General features: G+C 40.6%; 1 protein-coding gene across 3 annotated transcripts in view, besides 1 other annotated feature; it reads left to right on the top strand.

Moving 5' to 3' along the window:
• MAML3 (mastermind like transcriptional coactivator 3) overlaps positions 1-19,474 on the top strand; it is a 437,432-nt gene that overhangs the window by 175,610 nt on the left and 242,348 nt on the right. The gene's annotated exons all lie outside the window — the stretch shown is intronic.
• Positions 15,231-15,430: a silencer, noted in NCBI's record as "fragment chr4:140884299-140884498 (GRCh37/hg19 assembly coordinates)". NCBI's record gives its function as "represses an EF-1alpha promoter that drives an FKBP-Casp9 reporter gene in an ReSE screen in K562 erythroleukemia cells {active_cell/tissue: K562}" and the evidence as "EXISTENCE:reporter gene assay evidence [ECO:0000049][PMID:32094911]".

The following is a 19,474-nucleotide window of genomic DNA, read 5'->3' as shown; positions in this document are numbered from 1 at the left end:
GAAGACATAGTGAGGGTCAACTGCCCTTTACCCAGGAGGAGAAAGGGCAGAGACGCCATCCTCTGCCACTCGTTTTTAAAGCATTTGCAGATTTTCATTTTTGCAGGACTTTCCTTTCAGAGAGAAGTGGCACTTGAGACCACTTGCCACCTGTTGAGGCTCTTCTCTGCTCACTCCAACAGGCTTCCTGGAGAGGTCTTGGCTAATGCAATCTGGGCCTTGGGATAGATCTGCAGCTAGAGTTGGTGCTGAATCTTCCTGTGCTTGGGAGGCTCACCACTCCCAAAGATGGGGAGCCAGGAGTGCCATGCATCTCCACATTAGCTCACTTCCTTTGAGGCTGAAATCAAGAGAGAGACTTTGGTCCAAAGACTTTTTTTTGTAACCTTCTTGGGCTCCATTCTTCACATTTGCTTCCGAGTCAAGGAGAAGGAGCACAGACCTGAGGGATGGAGTGAATTCTAATCCAAGCTCTGAAACTGACCAGCTGGGGCCTGAAAGCAAGACTGTGACCTCAGTCTGCACCACTTCCCCTCCCATCAGTAAAGTGAGAGGATCCATTGTGCTACCTTCTGCAGTCCCTTTCAGCTTTGGTGTTCACTGATTCTGTGATGAATTTCCTGTAATTTCTGTGTAGGAACAGAAAAGAGCATAGAAGATCCTTTTTTTGTTTTTTTTTTGTTTTTTGTTTTTTGTTTTTTTGTTAGGGAGTTTCACTCTGTGGCCCTGGCTGGAGTGCAGTGGCAAGATCTTGGCTCACTGCAGCATCTGCCTCCTGGGTTCCAGCAATTCTCCTGCCTCAGCCTCCTGAGTAGCTTGGATTACAGGCACATGCCACCACACCCAGCTGATTTTTGTATTTTTAGTAGAGACGGGGTTTCACCATGTTGGCTGGGCTGGTCTCGAACTCATGACCTCAGGTGATCCAACCGCCTCGGCCTCCCAAGGTGCTGGGATTACAGGCGTGAGCTACCGCGCCTGGCCAGAACATCCTTTTAATTCTTATCTGGAGACTTAATCTATATGTTCATAATTAGTATTACCAGTAAGGGCAGAATGTTCCAAAGTAGGGTCTGACTGCATTTTTAAACAATGCAATTTGCAGAGCTCCACTCTTCCACTCCTTAGTCTTATGTGAAGGACACACTTGGACTAAAATGGTTATTGCTTTATCATAATTTGGGGATCTCTATCAGAGATGATTTAGGCCAGAGTTTCTCACCCTCGGCACTATCAGCATTTTAAATTAGATTCTTCTCTGTGGCGGGGGCCGTCCTGCGTACTCTGGGATGTTCAGCAGCATCCCTAGTCCATTTGGGCTGCTATGACAAGATACCATTAACTGGGTGGTTTATAAACAACAGAAATTTATTTCTCACAGTTCTGCAGGCTGAGAAGTTGAAGATCAAGATTCAGTGTCTGGTGAGGGCCTGTTTCCTGGTTCATAGATGGTGCCTTCTTGCTGCATGTCTCCTGGTGGAAGGGCCGAAGCAGCTCACCAGGAACTCTTATAAGGGCAAATCCCATTCATGAGGCTCTGCCCTTACGACCTGATTCCCTTCCTAAAAGCCCCACCTTCTAATATGGCACATTGATGATCAGGTTTTAACATATGAATTTTGGGGGAATACAGCCATTCAGACCATAGTACCTGGGCCTCTGTTTAATGGATGTGACACCCTCTTCTCCCCACAGTCGTGAAAACTATCTCCAGACATTGCCAGATGTGCCCTGGAGGGAAAAAAAAATCACCCTAGTTGAGAACCACTGATTTAGTTTTAATTTAGGGTATGTATTTAAAAGGCAGAAAAATAAGTATAGAATCAAACTTAATTAAGCAAATGCCTCTAAAAAACACTGAATTTTAAAAGAGGTAATAGTAAAATTTGAATTTGCAGAAATGTAGGACTTGCTTTTAAAGCTCATATCTTAAGTACATACTAACCACATATGGCTTCTCAACTGTACTTGAGATTTCTTCAATCAGGAAATAAGATCATCCACCTTTTTTTTCCTGAAGGTATCACCTATGATTCTAAGTAATATTGGATGACTGGATGTTAATGTACTATGCCTTCATAATTTCTAAAGAAATGTATGAATAAGATATTAACCTGACATAAATAGTACTTTCTTGCTGTGGCTCTAGTAAAGTCTTAACATCTGCACAGACTGGTAAAGACTTCATCACATCCCCTCTTGCTTTTTCCATTTCCAAGATGCTTATTACACCAAGGCTGATGTTAAAAAGATTTCTTGTCATCTGCTCTGATTACTGTTTTTGGGGGAGGAGAAAACATAATGAAGAGAAGAAGAAGAAAAGAAAAAAAACCAGAAGAACAGGATCTGTCTTTCCTGTATTTTGTGTTCCTGAGAGCTGATAGAGAACAAATTGTGAAATGTGGGAGGCTTTGCCCAGCATTCAGGCTGAAGTTGCCTTAAAAGGAAAGTATGGCACGTTACACATTTCCCACTTCCTTCTTTTTTAGTTTCCTTTTAGCCATTCTCAGAAATGTAAGCAGGAAGAAAATAGCAATCAATTATGTTTGGAAACAACTGAAGTTAAATCTGACTGATATTTGTTTATAAAACTATGCATCATTTTATTTTCAGTACATTTTCAGTTCCTCTTTTGCCCCTAACATTCTCCTAATTCCCATGGTGAATATATTTCCTTTAATCCAGGCCTGAACACTGAGATAGTTAACAGCCCCTGGTTGTTATTTCTTGATGAAGTCTCTCCTAGTCAGCTCCTTTTTTCTTCCCATTGCCTTCCTTTAGTCCAAGTTTTCATAACCTCTAGGCCCTCCACTTTGCAGTTCAATCTGTGAGGTTAATGACTTCACACCTTTTTCATTATATTCATGCCTTCATTCACTGGACAAATAGTTCCTGGGCCCCTATTCTAGGCCAGACACTGTTCTAGGCTTGAGACATACAGCAGTGAATAAAGCAGACAAAACCCCCTTTCCTCATGGAGTTTATACTACCTAAGGGAGGAGGGCAGTGGATAGAGACATTTTAGAAAGTAAATAAATCATATCACATGGTAGAATATGGTAGATGTAATGAAAAAAGTAGAGCAGGGAAGGGAGATAAGGAGGTATATGGGGTGTGTGTGTGTGCATGCCTGCACGCGTGTTCATGTGTGAGCCTGTGTGTATGGAAAGGGTAGGCTGCAATTTTAGATACGGTGATAGGGAAGGCTTCACTGAAAAGTGACATTTGAGCAATTACATGAAGGAGTAGCCAAACATGGAGATACCTGAGGAAAGAGCAGTCTAGGCAGAGGAAACGCATGTGAAAATGCTTGAAGTGTGCCTGGTATATGAGGAAGACTCTGAGGAGGCTGGTGTGGGAGAGGAGGACATAAGGCGACAGTTGATAGGGGTGGAAGAAGCAGATGCTGCAAAGCCTTGCAAGCCCTTGCAAGGACTTTGGCTTTTATCTGAGAGAGATGGGATGCTGCTGGATGGCTCTGAGAAGAGAATGGTGTGATCTGACTTGCAGGTTAATAGGATCATGTCACCAAGTCGTCATATCACTTCCCCTACTTAAATCCACCACTTGACAACATATAATCCCTTTATCCACAGAGACAAATACAAACTCATCTTCCCTGTCCCTAATCAAGAATTTTTCCAGTCACCCTGCACAAGCCCTCTGCACTCTTAGTAAACAGTGACCACCTCCTGCCCCTTTCACATTCTACCCGTCCTTCAAGTCCAAGCTGAAGTTTCTTTTTCCAGAAAACCTTTGCCACCTCAAAATTGATCTCTCTCTTCTCTGACCTCCTATCGTATTGATTATTTATCAATAAATACAATATAATATATGGACTTGACCATATATTATCTGGACTTCACCATATATTATCTTGGATTGTTTTCTACGTAGGCATTGAAAGGTTTATAGAACTTGAGACCTAGAAGAGTCTCGGGAATCATCTCTTCTGACTCCTTCATTTTACCAGTGAGGAAATAGAAGCCCAGCAATGTTTAGGATATTGCCAAATTCGCTCAACTAGCTGTTTAATGTGTACACTGCCTTTCTCAATGAAATTATAAGTACATTAAGGAATGATAACATGCCTTATACTTCTCCAAAATCTCCTATAATAGTGGTTAACATAGTACTCATGTAACAGACACTTACTAAGTTCAATTAAATGGCCGGGCGCGGTGGCTTACACCTGTAATCCCAGCAGTTTGGGAGGCCGAGACGGGCAGATCACAAGGTCAGGAGATCGAGACCATCCTGGCTAACACTGTGAAACCCTGTCTCTGCTAAAAATACAAAAAATTAGCTGGGCGTGGTGGTGGGCGCCTGTAATCCCAGCTACTCGGGAGGCTGAGGCAAGAGAATGGTGTGAACCCGGGAGGCGGAGCTTGCAGTGAGCCGAGATAGCGCCACTGCACTCCAGCCTGGGTGATAGAGCGAGACTCTGTCTCAAAAAAAAAAAAAAAAAACTATTAAATGTAAGAATAAATTGATTTTTAGGTGGTTTGGTTTTAAAGGAACGTTGTAGGCCGTTAATTCATCAACCACATTTTGAATTAACAGATGTTCTAAATGCAAAAAGCTATGTAAAATACTTGTATGTAATTTGGCTTGAATTTTAGGGATTTGCCTGTGAATGTAGTTAGATGGGAGAATGAGAAATTTTGCCTTTCTTGGAGGTTTTTGTTCTGATGTAATGGTGAAAGGTAATTCTATCATCTCTGCATGACACAGCTATTTTTGTTGCTTCAGCAAGATTTATCAAAGCAAGTGGTTTTTGACCATTCTTTGTCTCCAAGGGAGAGACAATTGTGGCAGCATCCCATCCTCTGAGCTGGTTTTTGTTTTTGTTTTTTGGAGAATAAGTGGTTTTGATTACAGGTGTGAACTTGTGGTATTCACAGATGTTGGTGGCCTGTCAGGACTATTTTAGGAGACCTCATTTATCCTTTGACCAAGAAATATCCTGACTGGGGCCTGACTTGAATATATAGCTCCCTGTGGGGGTGATGCCAAGGCTCCCTTCCAGTAATAACTGCTCAAGGAAACAAAGAGTTTCCAAGAGTCTGTGGTCCAGAACCTACACTTACTACACTTAACCTTTACGACGTAGACCCGCCCAAACGAATCAATAATGACTTTCCAGTGTTTTAATCTTCGCCGATAGATTCAGCACTGTTTTGAATTTGGCCTGCATGTGACCTAAACAATGGACTGAAGTAGGGAAAGCGAATTCAGCCTGCCTTTGCTATTCATGCACTGCAGCCAAAACAAAGCTCCTGAGGTTTGAAATGACTTGTTGGAGAAATCCTGCTGGTTTTAGAGAACTCTTTTAAAGCCCAATATTAGTGACCCACGGCCTGGCCCTATGACTGGGTCACTTAACTTAGTTGACCATAGCATGATTTCACTATGCTAAGAAGAAGGATGAAACACCTGAATGAGCCAAGTAGCTTGATTTATGGCTAAACACTGGATTCTTACTCTAAGTAGTCATCCAACAGCTGAATATCAGTGGTCACAAATCCAAGATAAAATGTAAATGGCTCAATGAACTTCATCAGAAACACAGTCTTACTGAAAGAGAATCCAGGTAGTATATTCATCTGAAAGAGAAAATGAAATACCTGGTATTTTTGGTGCATAATCTAGGTAATGTATTCTGTGTTGTATTTTGTTTATAAGTGTATAGTTCTCTAGCTAATCTAAATGATTGTTATTGTTTTGCTCCTTTAGAATTATCAAAAGCTTCATTCATTTATTTTCATACTTAAGATATGGATAATTCCTCTTTGCAAATTGTCGTCAGAATTCACAATTTAAAACTTTTAATTGAGGTATAATTTACATAAAGTAAAATTCACTAATTTTCAGTGCATACTTCTGTGAGTTTAGATAAATGTATACATTTGTATAATCACCATCACAATTATGATATGGAACATTGCCATCTTCCCAAAACCTTCTCTCATTTTAGCACACTTTTGCTATTACTGTTATTTGGTGGCAACTATTTTAGTGGCTTGACTTTGCAGGAAGTGAAAAAAGCATAAGGAGCCAAGTCTAGTGGCTAAGGTGGTTGTTGATCACATGGAGTGATGCATCTCTGAGTCAAAAACAAAATGTGACTATAAAGTCATGGGCCTCTGTTTTCTGATAAGGCTTGTAAACTGGTTCTGATGGTCATTTCAAAGTTGAACTTCAAGGACATTTTGAACAAAGGATTGGATATATTTTTATAATAAACCTTAGAAATGTTGCCCAATGTGGCTACCACTGTAGAGGGCAAGATTTATTTGGTTCCTTAATAGACACCTGGTATTTGCAGATTTAACATTTTGTGGAGAGTGGTGGGGGAAGGAGGGAGAGGATCAGGAAAAATAGCTAATGGATACTGGGCTTAATACCTGGGTGACAGGATGATCTGTGCAACAAACCACCATGGCACACATTTACCTATGTAACAAACCTGTACATCCTGCATAGGTACCCCTGAACTTAAAAGTTGGAAATTTTAAAAAAAAAGAAAAGCATTTTGTGTATTTAAAAGAACATCAAAAGTGTGAGATAGAAAGAAATCTGTAGTTTTGCCAAAGCATAAATTTGAATCTTGAATTTACAAGCTAAAATGGGTTCTGAGAGCAAGTGGGTCCACTAGTGAATGAGCCACGCCCACTGCTGATCCTCCCAATCTCATAGGGCCATGAGAAAGGTCCATTCCAAGTCTGGACCAGGGAATGCTCACACTGTGATTTTTTTTAAGGTGTCTTCTTTAGAAATGGCTCCCCAAAGAAAGTCAAGTGCTAGTATCAGAGATGGAAGTGAAGAAGACTAAGAAAGTAATTCTACCTAACCCAGAAAATGGAAGTATTGACCAGATTAAAGAGTGGTTAAGTCATGGCCATGAATGAATTTACCATATGAAAATAAGAAAAAAAATTAAAATTATTTCAGAGCAAAATATGACTAATGCAAAAATCACTCCTTAAGAGGGAAATAAGTCATTAGGGGTTGAGGAGATCCCTTACATTTTCAGTCATATTTATATTATGAAGCACAAGGCAAATTATATGCTATTGTATTTCTGAATTTGGGAATTCATGAATATTGAGGGTTTATTCTCTAAGGTTCTGTTGTGTTCATTCAGATACCAATATCATTAAATATAGTTATACCTGGTGTGCAGCCAAGAATTTGAGGGAAGTTGACATTTGAAACAGAATCTGTGGAGCTGGAGATAAAGAGAGTCCTTTGGACACTTTCTGTGGTTTAGTCCACAATCACCAAATGAGAGTTGATTGAGAGGGGCCTGGGAGGCTCGTGATGAGTTGTAGTTGCAGTGCAGTTTAGGTAGCCCAGAAGGTACAGTGAGAAGAGTTAGTAATTAGAGGAGATAACTCAGTGAGAAGAGTTAGTAATTAGAGGAGATAAAGAGGTTGGAAGCTGGTGGTTCCACTTTTTGAGAACTAGAAAGGAAAACTGGGATATGAAAAGAATGTGAAACTAACCCCTCGGTCCTTAATACATAGACACATATCATAATTCTAAGGCTTTCTAGTTCTAAGACAGAACTAGTTAACAGTAGAGACAGGAAATTTGGATTTTTTATTTTCTCATCTGTGATTATGGGCGATTCCATATCTTTCTCTGGAAATCAAAACAAATAGAGTAGCATGATTGGGATGTTTGACTGACTGCCATATGCTAGGTGCTCTTCTAGGCCTCTGGAAACAGTGAAAAGCCATAGGCCCTGCTTATAAGGCACTTTTAATGGTAAGAAGACAGACATGAAAGTGAACTGTGAAAATTCAATGGGAGCTGCTGTGATGAAGATCATGTACCAGGTGCAGTTAGAACCTCAGGAGAGTGAGCCCCTAAGTCCGCCTCAAGATATTTAGGCTTGTTGCTTCTCTAGCTGACCTTGTTCCCTCATTTGGAGAAAAGGAGATGGTGCTAAGTCCCTGAAATTGAATGACTTTCCTCATCATCTATTACCTAAACTGCTTGGGCGTCCTCCTAATCACCTTCTGCTTACTAATCTCTTGATTGTCTGATCCATTTTTAAAACCCATGCTCCATTTTCCTCTTAAGACCCTGGGTGGATCTGCACTGCCTGCACAGTAAGTCCAAAGTCCCTACCATGATTTCAGAGCCACCATCTACCTCCCTGTCACCATAGTCCTCCACAGACTGTGCTTCAATCCCCCTGGCTACTCTCCTGCCTTTGTGTGCTGCCAAGCATTTCCTACTTCCAGCTTTTGCTTGTGTTTTCTTGCTCATCTTCTCCACCTATCAAAATCCAACTAATTTCATCCAATGCTCTACTCAAATGCTACCTTGTCCGTGAAGCCTGCTCTAATCCTCTCAGTTCAATTTAATTATTGATTCCTTGCATTTCCACAACACTCATTTGCAGACTTCTCTGACAATAGTTGTACTTTGCTTTGATTGCAGCTCGTGTTTCTATGTCTACCTTTTTCACTAGATGGCAAATATCTGGAAGGCAGGGACTGTATCTTTCATAACCCACTGACCTCATACCCAGTAGTTAATGAAAAATCTTCATCAAATGCTGTTGAATATTGCCCAAGGTCAGATGTTAGTGGCAGATCAAGGTCTGAAAACTTGATTTATTTATATTTCTATCAAAATTTTAGGAACTCCAATATGTTACTTAACATGTGTCTACTCCATCAGGTGCTTCACCTTGGAAACACTTTTTTGTGAGTCAGTGGTGCGGAATCGCCGGTATAGTCAGGGCTGCCAATGTTTATAGTGGCAGCGAGGTTGAGGAGATAGATAGGGGAGGCATGTGTTTAGGTAGAGCATGCTTTTCTCATCTACAGTAGGCCCTATGAATATTTGAAGGGGAGTCTGGAAGCTGTTTCCTATGAGCGAGGTTAAGTTGAAATGCAAGAAGTAAAGATTAAGGAATATTAACATAAAATCTGTATTGTGAATTCTTTTACATAAATATGTTACTATTGCCAGAAGTGGTGTCAGGGAGCTTTTCATATGTCTACATTTTAATACCCAAATGAAAAGTTTGCTGTAAATTATCAAATGTGGAAATTCTTCATGCTTATAAAGGTCCTTGACAAAAGAATGTGCTGAAAGAAGAAAGAGAGAGAGGGTGTGTGTGTGTGTTCATTTCTCCAAACATATTTTTCTGATGCAAAAATGTGGGGAAGTAGAAGGGAGCAGGGGTGAAGTGAGGAGTGACTGGTTCCATCTTGAGTATTTTAAATCAGTCTGTCTCTCTTCCCGTGCCCTGCCTCTCTATCTACCTACCTACCTATCCCACGGCGGGGATGGTGGGAGTGTGCTACAAATCCTGGTCAGCCCATCATTATCTGGTATGCAGTGGAGGGTCTGCAAAGGGGAGAAGGAGACTGCAAACCTTCCCTCCCTTCCACTCAGGAAGCTCCTTCCTCTGCAGGTTATCAAGATCAGTGCTGAGTTCCTGGACCATTCACCTCAGGTCTCCCATTCACTGGCTGGCTGGCTTTGCTCCATCTCCATCCCTTCCCACTCTGGCTGGGATGGGAGGGCCGGCACCCTCTACTTCTGTTTCTCTTGCTCTGCTTGTGTTTTCTGTCAGGTCTGGCTATAGTCACTTGAGTGCTTCCAGGTAGGTTTGGGGCAGCACGCTGCTCTGCTTGCTACCCTGGGACTGGAAAATGCTGGTAGGATACAGCCTCCTCTGTCCTCCAGACATCAGCGGTGGGATTTGCTTTCTGTACTCCCTGCAACCACTAAAGTGTGTGCAAATGAAGGCATTTAAATGGTCATGTATGCTGAAAAAGTTCTTACTGAGAGATGGTAGTTAAGAGCTGGTTTCTGGAGTGGAACTACAGGATTTCAAGCCTGTTCTTCCTCTCAAGGTGGCAGAGTACTTGACCTCCTTGTGCCTTAGTGTCCTCATCTGTAAAATGGGCCTAACAGAACCCACCTCAGGGAGTTTGTGAGGATTAAGTAAATTAATACAGAAAGAGCACTTAGAGAAAGTCTGGACTGTAACAAGCACTATGTAGTCATCAAACTTATTACTGTAAGAATGGTTTTGCCTGCTGACTTGCCAAGGGTCATTAGTAACATTCTTGACCCAAGGAGAAACTGAGGCACTAAGATAAAGCAGCCAGGTAATGGGGGTCAAATTGAGTCCCTAGTGTTGTTTAACTTCAATTGCAAATAAACCTCATATGGGCTCTGGTCTACACTTCACAGATTCTTTTTTTTTCTTTTTTCTTTTTTTTTTTTTTTTTAAGACAGAGCCTCACTCTGTTGCCCAGGCTGGAGTGTAGTGGCACGATCTTGGCTCACAGCAACCTCCACCTCCGAGGTTCAGTGATTCTCATGCCTTAGCCTCCTGACTTAAAAATGTCATTGTATAAAGCCTCCTGACTTAGCCGAGACTATAGGCGTGTGCCCCCATGCCTGGCTAATTTTTGTATTTTTAGTAGAGACTGGGTTTCACCATGCTGGCCAGGCTGGTCTCGAACTCCTGACCTCAGGTAATCTACCCGCCTTGGCCTCCCAAAGTGCTGGGATTACAGGCATGAGCCACTGCACCTGGCTTTTCTTTTCTTTTCTCTTTTTTTTTTTTTTTTTTGAGACAGGGTCTCACTTTTCACAGATTCTTGAGGAAGGACAGATGCCCTAACGTGACTTGAAAGTCATGTGGAGCCTAGGGTGTGTATCTGTGGGGGTGTCTGTTGGGAAACAGAGGTTGACTTTAAATACAAGTATGGCAAGAAAACAATACAGAGTGAGATCTGAATGCAGCACAGGGCTGGCCAAGAGGCAGGGAGGCTGTTTCCCCTTTGTCCAGGCGTTTGAAAAAATCAGTTCCAAACCTGTGCCAACCAGAATCCAGTCCTGCAGACACTATGATTTTGTAATTTGCTTGCATCTGTGTTTTGCTAAAAGCTTTCAGTTTTAGATGCCCTCAAGAACTCTTCAGGCCTGGCAGGAGAGGCACACTCTCTCTCACCGCCTTATGTATGCAACCTCATGATGGCAGATCTCATTTGGGAAACTGCCGGGGATGAAGAATAGAGTGTGTGTGTGTGTGTGTGTGTGTGTGTGTGTGTGTGTGTGTGTGTCCCTTAAAAAGAAAACTAACAACATTTTTTCCACGTTATTTTTTCAAAAGGGGAGTACTGTAGGCCACAGGGAAATAGGGTAAGATTGTATTTTAATGCCAGCTTGATTCTCAATCCCTTTTCCTTCCCCTGTTTCCCACATGCTACCCACAGGAAGGGCACCAGTGAAGAGACAGAAAGGTGACCTCAGGGAAGAGCTGTGAATTTTGAGGGGGCGACTGCCTTTCATTGAACTCCTATAACTCCTCCTTTTCATCATCTGCTTCTCCTCTTTTTACTTAGCAGTGAGAAATTCCCAAATATTTATGAAGTGACCCTCAGAGAAAAAAAGAGCCTCTCTTTTCCATTGTTGCTGTGTTGATTCTTCTAATATTAGGACTTTTTTCAATTTTGATCCTTACTTTAAGTATAATTAAATTTCTTCACAATTGTTAAAAATGGCATGAATATTCTTTTATTTACCAGAATATATCTATGTGTACATGTATGTCCATGTTCATGTCTATGTCCCTCAGATCTTTATTCTTCATGTCTCTTTTTTAGTTCTTGATGTAGCTTCAGCTTATATCCAGGAGGGCTAGTGCACTTGATTAGTGGGAAGTCAGGAGGGCTGTATCGCAGTCATTCAAGAAGGTCCAGTGTTGTGAACACTTTTTCCTTTCATGATGGGTATTTTTGTCATTCTTAAAGCCTGTTAACCAAAGACTGCTCGTTGATGTAAAAAAAATTTGTTAAAATAATGCTGGACTCCAATTTAGTGACAATAATGTTAGCAATTTTGCTCTGTAACTGATCACTAGCCCACATCTCTGGTTACTGTGAAGATCCGCTGGTAGAGTCATCAGGCATCGGTCAGAAACACGTAAGATAGTAAAAGGCTTTTCTGTGGCTAAGAGATTCATCTACATGAGTGGTAAGCCCATCCTATTAATAATCCTGTCAAACTAGAGACAAACCAAGTGAATGTAAATGCATCTTAGGAAAGGCAAAGGCAGGGACATATTCTGCCTGTTTTACCTTTGATGAGCTGACTTCACCATTTTTCTAACATGAAAAATCCTTGCATGTTTCTAGTTCCTAACATCTGGAGAATGGCAGGGGGTGTACTGTGCCGTGTTCTGCATGTGTTAAAACCTAACGTGTTCATCATAAGTGGGGTGCTCGGTTAAAATGAATTTTAAGAAAAGTTCAAAAAATTGGAAGACTTTAGAAGATTCATTTTCGAAGAGTTAACAGGTACACATGATACATATTTCAAATGGTATGAAAGTGAATACAATGAAAGCAAGCAGGAAGACTTGATTGGAAGCAATTTTTTCTTGGTTTGTTTCAAGCAGTATTTTTTCATGTTGACTGCACTGCCAAAATCATTTGTGTTCAAGGTGGTGGGTGAATGGTGGTGGCTTTTTATTTGCTTGGTTTTGGCTTTTGCTGATGGAAAAAGACACAAGTATAGTTATGATGCAAATGTTTTTCTTCAAGTTAATTATATTACTTGGCCAGATAGTTTTTCACCAGTGCCCTCCCTTCCCCCAATCCTGTGAGCTGTAGCCTTCTGTGCTTTTGTGTTCTTATAAGAACCTCACTGGAGCTGGCAGTGGTGGTGTGTGCTGGTAGTCCCAGCTACACGGGAGGATCCCTTGAGCCCAGGGGTTCTTGGCTATCCAGGACAACATAGCAAGACACTCTTTTCTCTAAAAATAAAATAAAAAAGACCCTCACTGGTAATAAGCAGGTGTACTTGTGACTAAAAATATAAAAAACACAGTTTAATAAAGAATCTCAGATAGATTAAAAATAGAATGAAGAAATGATGTGTTAGAAACAGTTATATATGTTAAGTGTGCATAAAACACACCATTGTTACAACATTTTGGCTACAATTGCAGTTTTCTCATTCTGTTGTCCTTTTTAACATAAGACAGCTTTTTAAAAAATTGAAGCAAAGCAGTTCAGATATAGGAGAGGACATGAAGATATTAAGCTGCCATTCTCAAAGGCAATTGTAGGGAACATTTTAAAACATGGTGATGTTTTAGTATTTTCTGCAGATTGTTATGGCCACAGAGGCTGCCTGAGCCATGCCTAATACTTACGGAAGGGAGAGCTTATAATAGTAGGAAAAAACAAAAATGGAAAGGTTCAACTCTCAAGTTCATACAGAATTCCAAACTTTCAGTATGTTTGTGTCATGAAAATCCAAATGGCTTATAAGATTCTGTGGTAATTACACAGATCATGAGACTGTCATTAAAAAAAAAAAAAAAAACTAGCAGGGAGTTATTTTGGGTTTATAAAAACACTCATGGACTTCTACTTTTCAGTAACAAAGTGAAAGCAATTTAAGAGACAAGCTGTCTTGGAATTGTAGAATACTTTTACCCCTGCTAGATTTTTGTAATTTAATTATTAAAACAACAATGTTTTATGTCTTTGGGGTCACTTGCTGTTATGTACTGGAGCAGACTTGTGATTATGTACATTTCTTCCTAATTTTATATTCGGTAAAGCCAAGTTGGTACTTGAAATTGGCCATGCTGAGAGTATTTACATCATCAAAATTGACCAAAGGTACATACCAAGACTTCTCTTTCTTTTTTTACTTTTCCTGGAGAGCTGGTTGTTAGCTATTTGCCAGCATACCACTGGATTTAAAGCCTAATTGAGTTGCATTAATCAAGATATGGAAGAAATCTAAAATAAGTAGAAGTACATCTCTTGTGTACCAATAAAACAGAAAATAAAATTAAAAATAAATAAATAAATAAAGTAAAAGGACCATTGTTTGGAATTCAAACATTGTATAAAGGAGTAAAAAACCTGGTGGAGAACTAGACATGTGGCATTTGTGGCAGTTACCACAAATTGTAAAAAATATGGTTTTTTTTAATTTTTGTTTTTCTTTATTCTAAAAATAAATGGGACACATGTGCAAAATGTGCAGGTTTATTACATAGGTATACATGGGCCGTGGTGGTTTGCTGCACTTATTGACCCGTCCTCTAAGTTCCCTCCCCTCACCCCCATCCCCCATCAGGCCCTGGTGTGTGTTGTTCCCCTCTTTGTGTCTATGTGTTCTCATTGTTCAACTTCCACTTATGAGTGAGAACCATGTGGTGTTTGGTTTTTTGTTCCTGTGTTGGTTTGCTGAGGATGATGGCTTCCAGCTTCATCCATGCCCCTGCAAAGGACATGATCTCATTCCTTTTTATGGTTGCACAGTATTCCATGTTGTATATGTACCACATGTTCTTTATCCAGTCTATCATTGATGGGCATTTGGGTTGGTTCCATGTCTTTGCTGTTGTAAATAGTGCTGCAATAAACGTATGTGTCTTTATAGTAGAACGATTTATATTCCTTTGGGTATATACCCAGCAATGGGATTGCTGGGTCAAAAGGTATTTTTAAAAATATGTTTTTCAGTGGGTGCGGTGGCTCATGCCTGTAAAAATATGTTTTTCAGTTATTCAAAGTCATTAATGGCCTATCTTACCATTTTGGATGGAGTGAAATGAATCATATTGTTGTCAAGTGAATGTCAGCCATATGGCAGGGTTGTCTCCTGTGGAACATAGCCATCATCATCTCTTAAAATGACAGAGTACCTCTGGGAGGCTCTAAGAGTTGTGTGACATTTCTTCCTTAAACTCAAAATATTACTAGTTCTAGTTGCTAATATTGTACAGATACAGAATTTGAGGTATGAGGAAACATAGAGTCCAAATAATAAATAAAGATCAGATCATTGCTTTTACAATTGTCTCTGATGCCTCCCTATCATGGCTGGGGCACTTTGAACAAGAATAGTTACTTCCATTATTGGGATTCTCTGAGCTAATAGTCTGACCCAAGGTATAATGCCATTTTACCAATGCATTTTGAAAATTTGACACAAGGTATTATTGGCCAAGGAAAATAGAAAGTGAGTATCTGTTTGTTGGCAACTGCTTCATACCGATGTTTCATTGTCGGCCACGTAGACAAGATACCATGGTTCTACTTCTGGCCAGTTGCACTTACTTAATTACTAGTTTTTGTACCCTTGCTACTCAAACTATGGTCTGTGGACCGGTAGCTTTGGCATCAAATAGACGCTTTCTACAAACACAATCTTGGGGACCATTCTAGACCTCCCAAATCAAAATGTGTTATTTCACAAGATCCCTAGGAGATTTGTCTGTGTGTTTGTTTATTTATTTAGTTAGTTAGTTAAGACAAAGGGGTCTCGCTATGTTGCCCAAGCTAGTCTTGAACTCCTGGCCTCAGGCTATCCTCCTGCCTTAGCCTCCTGAATAGCTGGGACTACAGGGATGATCCACTGCACCCAACTTGTATGCACATTAAAGTTTGAGAAACCCTGCCTCACCTCTTCACTAACTTCATTCCCAAAACGATCTGAAGAGCTCTTTCTTCCAGGGATGTTAAAAGAAATGGTGGGTTTAAAACACGGAAAAATAAACTAGAAGTTTGGATGAATGGTTAAAAAAAAAATCAGTTTTATTCATGATTATTGCCGTTCCCTTTACCTGGCTGTAGTCTCCATTACATACTTATTTGCAGTGGTAAAAAAAAGAAGCACCAAGGCATTCCCCCATGTAACAAGAGGGTTAACCTGGAATTTCCAGAGGAACCATATTTTCTAAATGAATTGACTACTTCTAAAAGCTTGCTTTTACATGTTATGCTGCTACAGTTGAAGCCTCACTTTCAACAGCCTCTCTCTCTCATTCCTCTCTTCCTCTCTTTTTCTTGGTTTTTAAAAATTAAAGTTTTAATTTTAGAACAGTTTTAGATTTACAGAGAAGTTGCAAAGATAGCACAGAGAGTTCTCAAATACCCTATCCCTATCTTTCTTGCTTTTTGACCGAAGTTGTATTTCTACTTTTCCTAGATTGGCAGAGTTTCCTGGCTAAGAAAGCAAAGTTACAGCACCTAACACAAATAGTATTTGATTAAGGCTAATTACAGTGCTGTCACATAAAAAGGGGAGAAAAGAAAGCTGGCTTTTTCTACCAGCAATGAAATAACCTGCTGTCTATCTACTGACTTAATAGCTTTAATTGCCAGAACATAATCAAGATCTGGTGAATTTGTTTGAACATATCAGCAGGCACCAAATATTTCAATGAGATCAAGTTGTCTAACTAGTTATGCTCTAACTTGAGCTGAAATAGCTCTGACAAAGTGAGTTTTGTAGGCTAAACGGCAACACCTATTGAGAAAGGCCCACTGATATGATGAGTTGATTTATTAACTCTCTGGACAGAGAAAGTTATAGGTTTAACATCACCACTTTAGATAAGCCATAACCCTCTAAAGTGTCTAACTTTAAAAAAAAAAAACAAAAACAGGATCTCACCCTGTTGCCCAGGCTGGAATGCGGTGGCATGATCTTGGCTCACTGCAGCCTTGACCTCCTGGGCTCAAGCAATCCTCCCACCTGAGCCTCCAGCCTCTCAAGTAGCTGGGACCACAGGCACATGCCACCATGCCCACCTAATTTTTTGTATTTTTTTATAGAGACAGAGTTTTGCCATGTTTCCCAGGCTGGTCTTGAACTCCTGAGCCCAAGTGATCCACCTGCCTCAACCTCCCAAAGTGCTGGGATTACAAGTGTGAGCCACCGTGCCCGGCTTTGTGTCTTAGTTCTCATGATGCATTAGGTTAGGAATGTACTTATACTTTATTTGGAGACTCATTTTACTTCCTGTTTATTGAAAACTTTTTTCCAAAGAGTGACATAACCAAATATGGGCATTTCCTTTAACAAACTTTGTAAATACTCTTCAGATCATCAGTAAGGAAGTCACACGTGAAAACAGCCATTCTTCTACATTTTATTGTATTCTACTTTCTGGCTCATAGGAATGCGGAACTAGAAATCCAGGCACATCTAAAACAGTCTGTCCCCAGGAAGTGAACCTAACAAATGACTTCCAAAAAGGGGGGCCCACAACAGGCTCATTGTGGGACCTTGCCAGGATGATGGAATTGACTGGGTCCTCCCCCATTCTGTTTCGACTCCAGGATAATCTAATGGAACGTATTTGTTGGTAGTTGAGTGTGTATACCCTTGAGCTTTTTGAAAACATCTGGTGTTCAGGTGAAAACACCTCTTTCTGTGGAAAAGTAGGAATAATTTGTTCTCTATTTAGTAATCATTGAATTCCTCGAAGGAGTTCAAACTCTTAACAAACAAAAGCATCCAGTCAAAATAATCTCAAAAGAAGATAACTGCAGGTGATGTTTTTAGTAGCTTTGAGAAACAGGCAAAATTGCAGAGGCAAGAAGAAAACACAGCTTAGAGCCCCCATGTTGTTTCCCCAGAGAGGCCACCTCTTCAGGGAGGATGGCTAGTGCTTCTTAGCTGGTAGTGCAGTCGAGAGGTGGTCGTTACCTGCAAACCCAGATCTTTTGCCAGACTGGAACCAGTGACGTAAGCACATCTGAGAAGGCTCCATGCACCCAACAGAGCTATCTCCTGGGTCTTGACTTGAGGCTGACTGACACCTGTGGCTCCTTTTGAACTCAAGTCACCTGGGTTACTGTTGACAGAGACTTGAGGAAAAGGACTTGGGCTAAAGAACATTTGCCTCATTTTTTTTTTCTCTTCCTTCTTTCTTAGCCAGGATTATCTTGACCTATTTGCCACCAGGTTTTCCTCACAGGTCCAAAGTTAAGCAGTGGCTTCTAGGAAGCAGCTGTGGGACTCCGCTCTTTCTGCCGATTTTCAGATGTGCAGAAAAGCTAAGGATGTCAGGAGGACCCTGGGAAGGAACAGAAGTCTGGGGATTTTGCTTTTCAAGTTCCTGCTGTTAATTTTTCCCCCATTTTCCTTTGCCTCATCTACTAACTCTTTGAGGCTTAAGAGACCCAAAGAGAAGTTTGTCCTAATTTTAAACTTGCCTCTGTGGCTGCCCTGTAATTTTCATCCCACAGCCTAAATTGGAACGTGTCTCCATAGGTTGGGCTCAGAACATCTCTTTCTGTGAAGCTTTACCAACCTACCCTTGGTATAGCAGAGGAGCTCCAGCATAAAATCCAGGATTCTGTTTTTCTCTGAAGACCACCATGGGAAGAGCTTTGTCCAATTTTAAAAGGTAGTGAGGGAGAAGGGGCAAATGCAATGCTGAAGCCAATTATCTTTTAAAACAGACACATTTCAGCAGAGTGCACAGGACAGAATGTTCATATTCCTTCTTTGACACAATGAAATTCGAGAATTTTCTATTGAGATGATCCAAGCAAGATTCTTATTCTCTGTGTACTTCCAAGATTCAAGCTATGTCCTTTGTCATGAAGATCATGTAACTCCCTCATTTTCTGTAAAACCCAGCTCCATACCTTCCTCCCCCAATGTAGGGTTTCTGGAATGACCTCAAACCATCACGAGCTTTCCTTTCCTCTGAATTTCTAGGACAAGCATGTACTTGGATCTCTGTGGTTCTCTCCAGCTAAATGATAGTCTCTGCTTTTCAATTTGTCTGTGTCTATGACATGCCAGGCACAGGGTAGGGTATAGAACATGATCCTAGTGAATAGTTTTTTAATTAATGAATTCATTGTTATCTCCTGTAATGATCTAAAAGTCAAGAATTTCCTTACCCTTTTAATCATGGGTACTAATGACCTTAAAAAGTTCTACTTGCATTAGAAAAATGGAATATTTATACTTGTTATACATAAATCTGCCCCTCAAACAAAAGATACATTTATATTTCACTAGCAGCATGGAAGAAATCAGCAGTCATGATCCCAGATAGTTCTTTCCTCAATACCGTCAATGTTTTCCCAGATTAGTCCATTATAGGTAAGCTGTTCACTTCCTTCAGGACCCAGAGTGCCCCGGAAACTTCAATACCTGCCACTCGCTGAGGCGGAAAAGGCTCACATGCTCATTAAAACTGCTGCTGGCCAGTTTTTGTTTGTTTGTTTGTTTTTTAATTCCATGAGCACACCTGAAATCTCACCTTGAAAGCAGCTTTCTTTTCTGCCATAGAGCAGTACCCAGTATGAAGCAGATATGTCTTGAAACATTTCCAAGGCATTTTAAGAACTAAAGTGCTATGGAAGCCTTGGAATAAGGATTTCTGCCTGAAAGCCCCCATAGTCTGAATTCCATGGATGCAGAATCAAGACGGTTAGGAAAGGTCCACACTCCATGCCTGTTCCTTGAACGCACTGATCTATGGGCTACCTGGTTTTTACAGGTAGATGTCAAGAACTGTGAGAGCTCTGAGATTTTACCCCACTTACAAGCTACTCAGTTAACTGCCTTTCTTCATCTAGGAGATTTCAATAAAATGCTTTAGTTCTTTCTCCAGAAAAGACATATCAGTTAAACTAATGTGGTTGGTGAGAGCAGG

Source organism: Homo sapiens, chromosome 4 (assembly GCF_000001405.40).
Source record: "Homo sapiens chromosome 4, GRCh38.p14 Primary Assembly".
Classification (NCBI taxonomy): Eukaryota; Metazoa; Chordata; class Mammalia; order Primates; family Hominidae; genus Homo; species Homo sapiens.
This window is presented reverse-complemented; position numbering and strand designations above follow the sequence as displayed.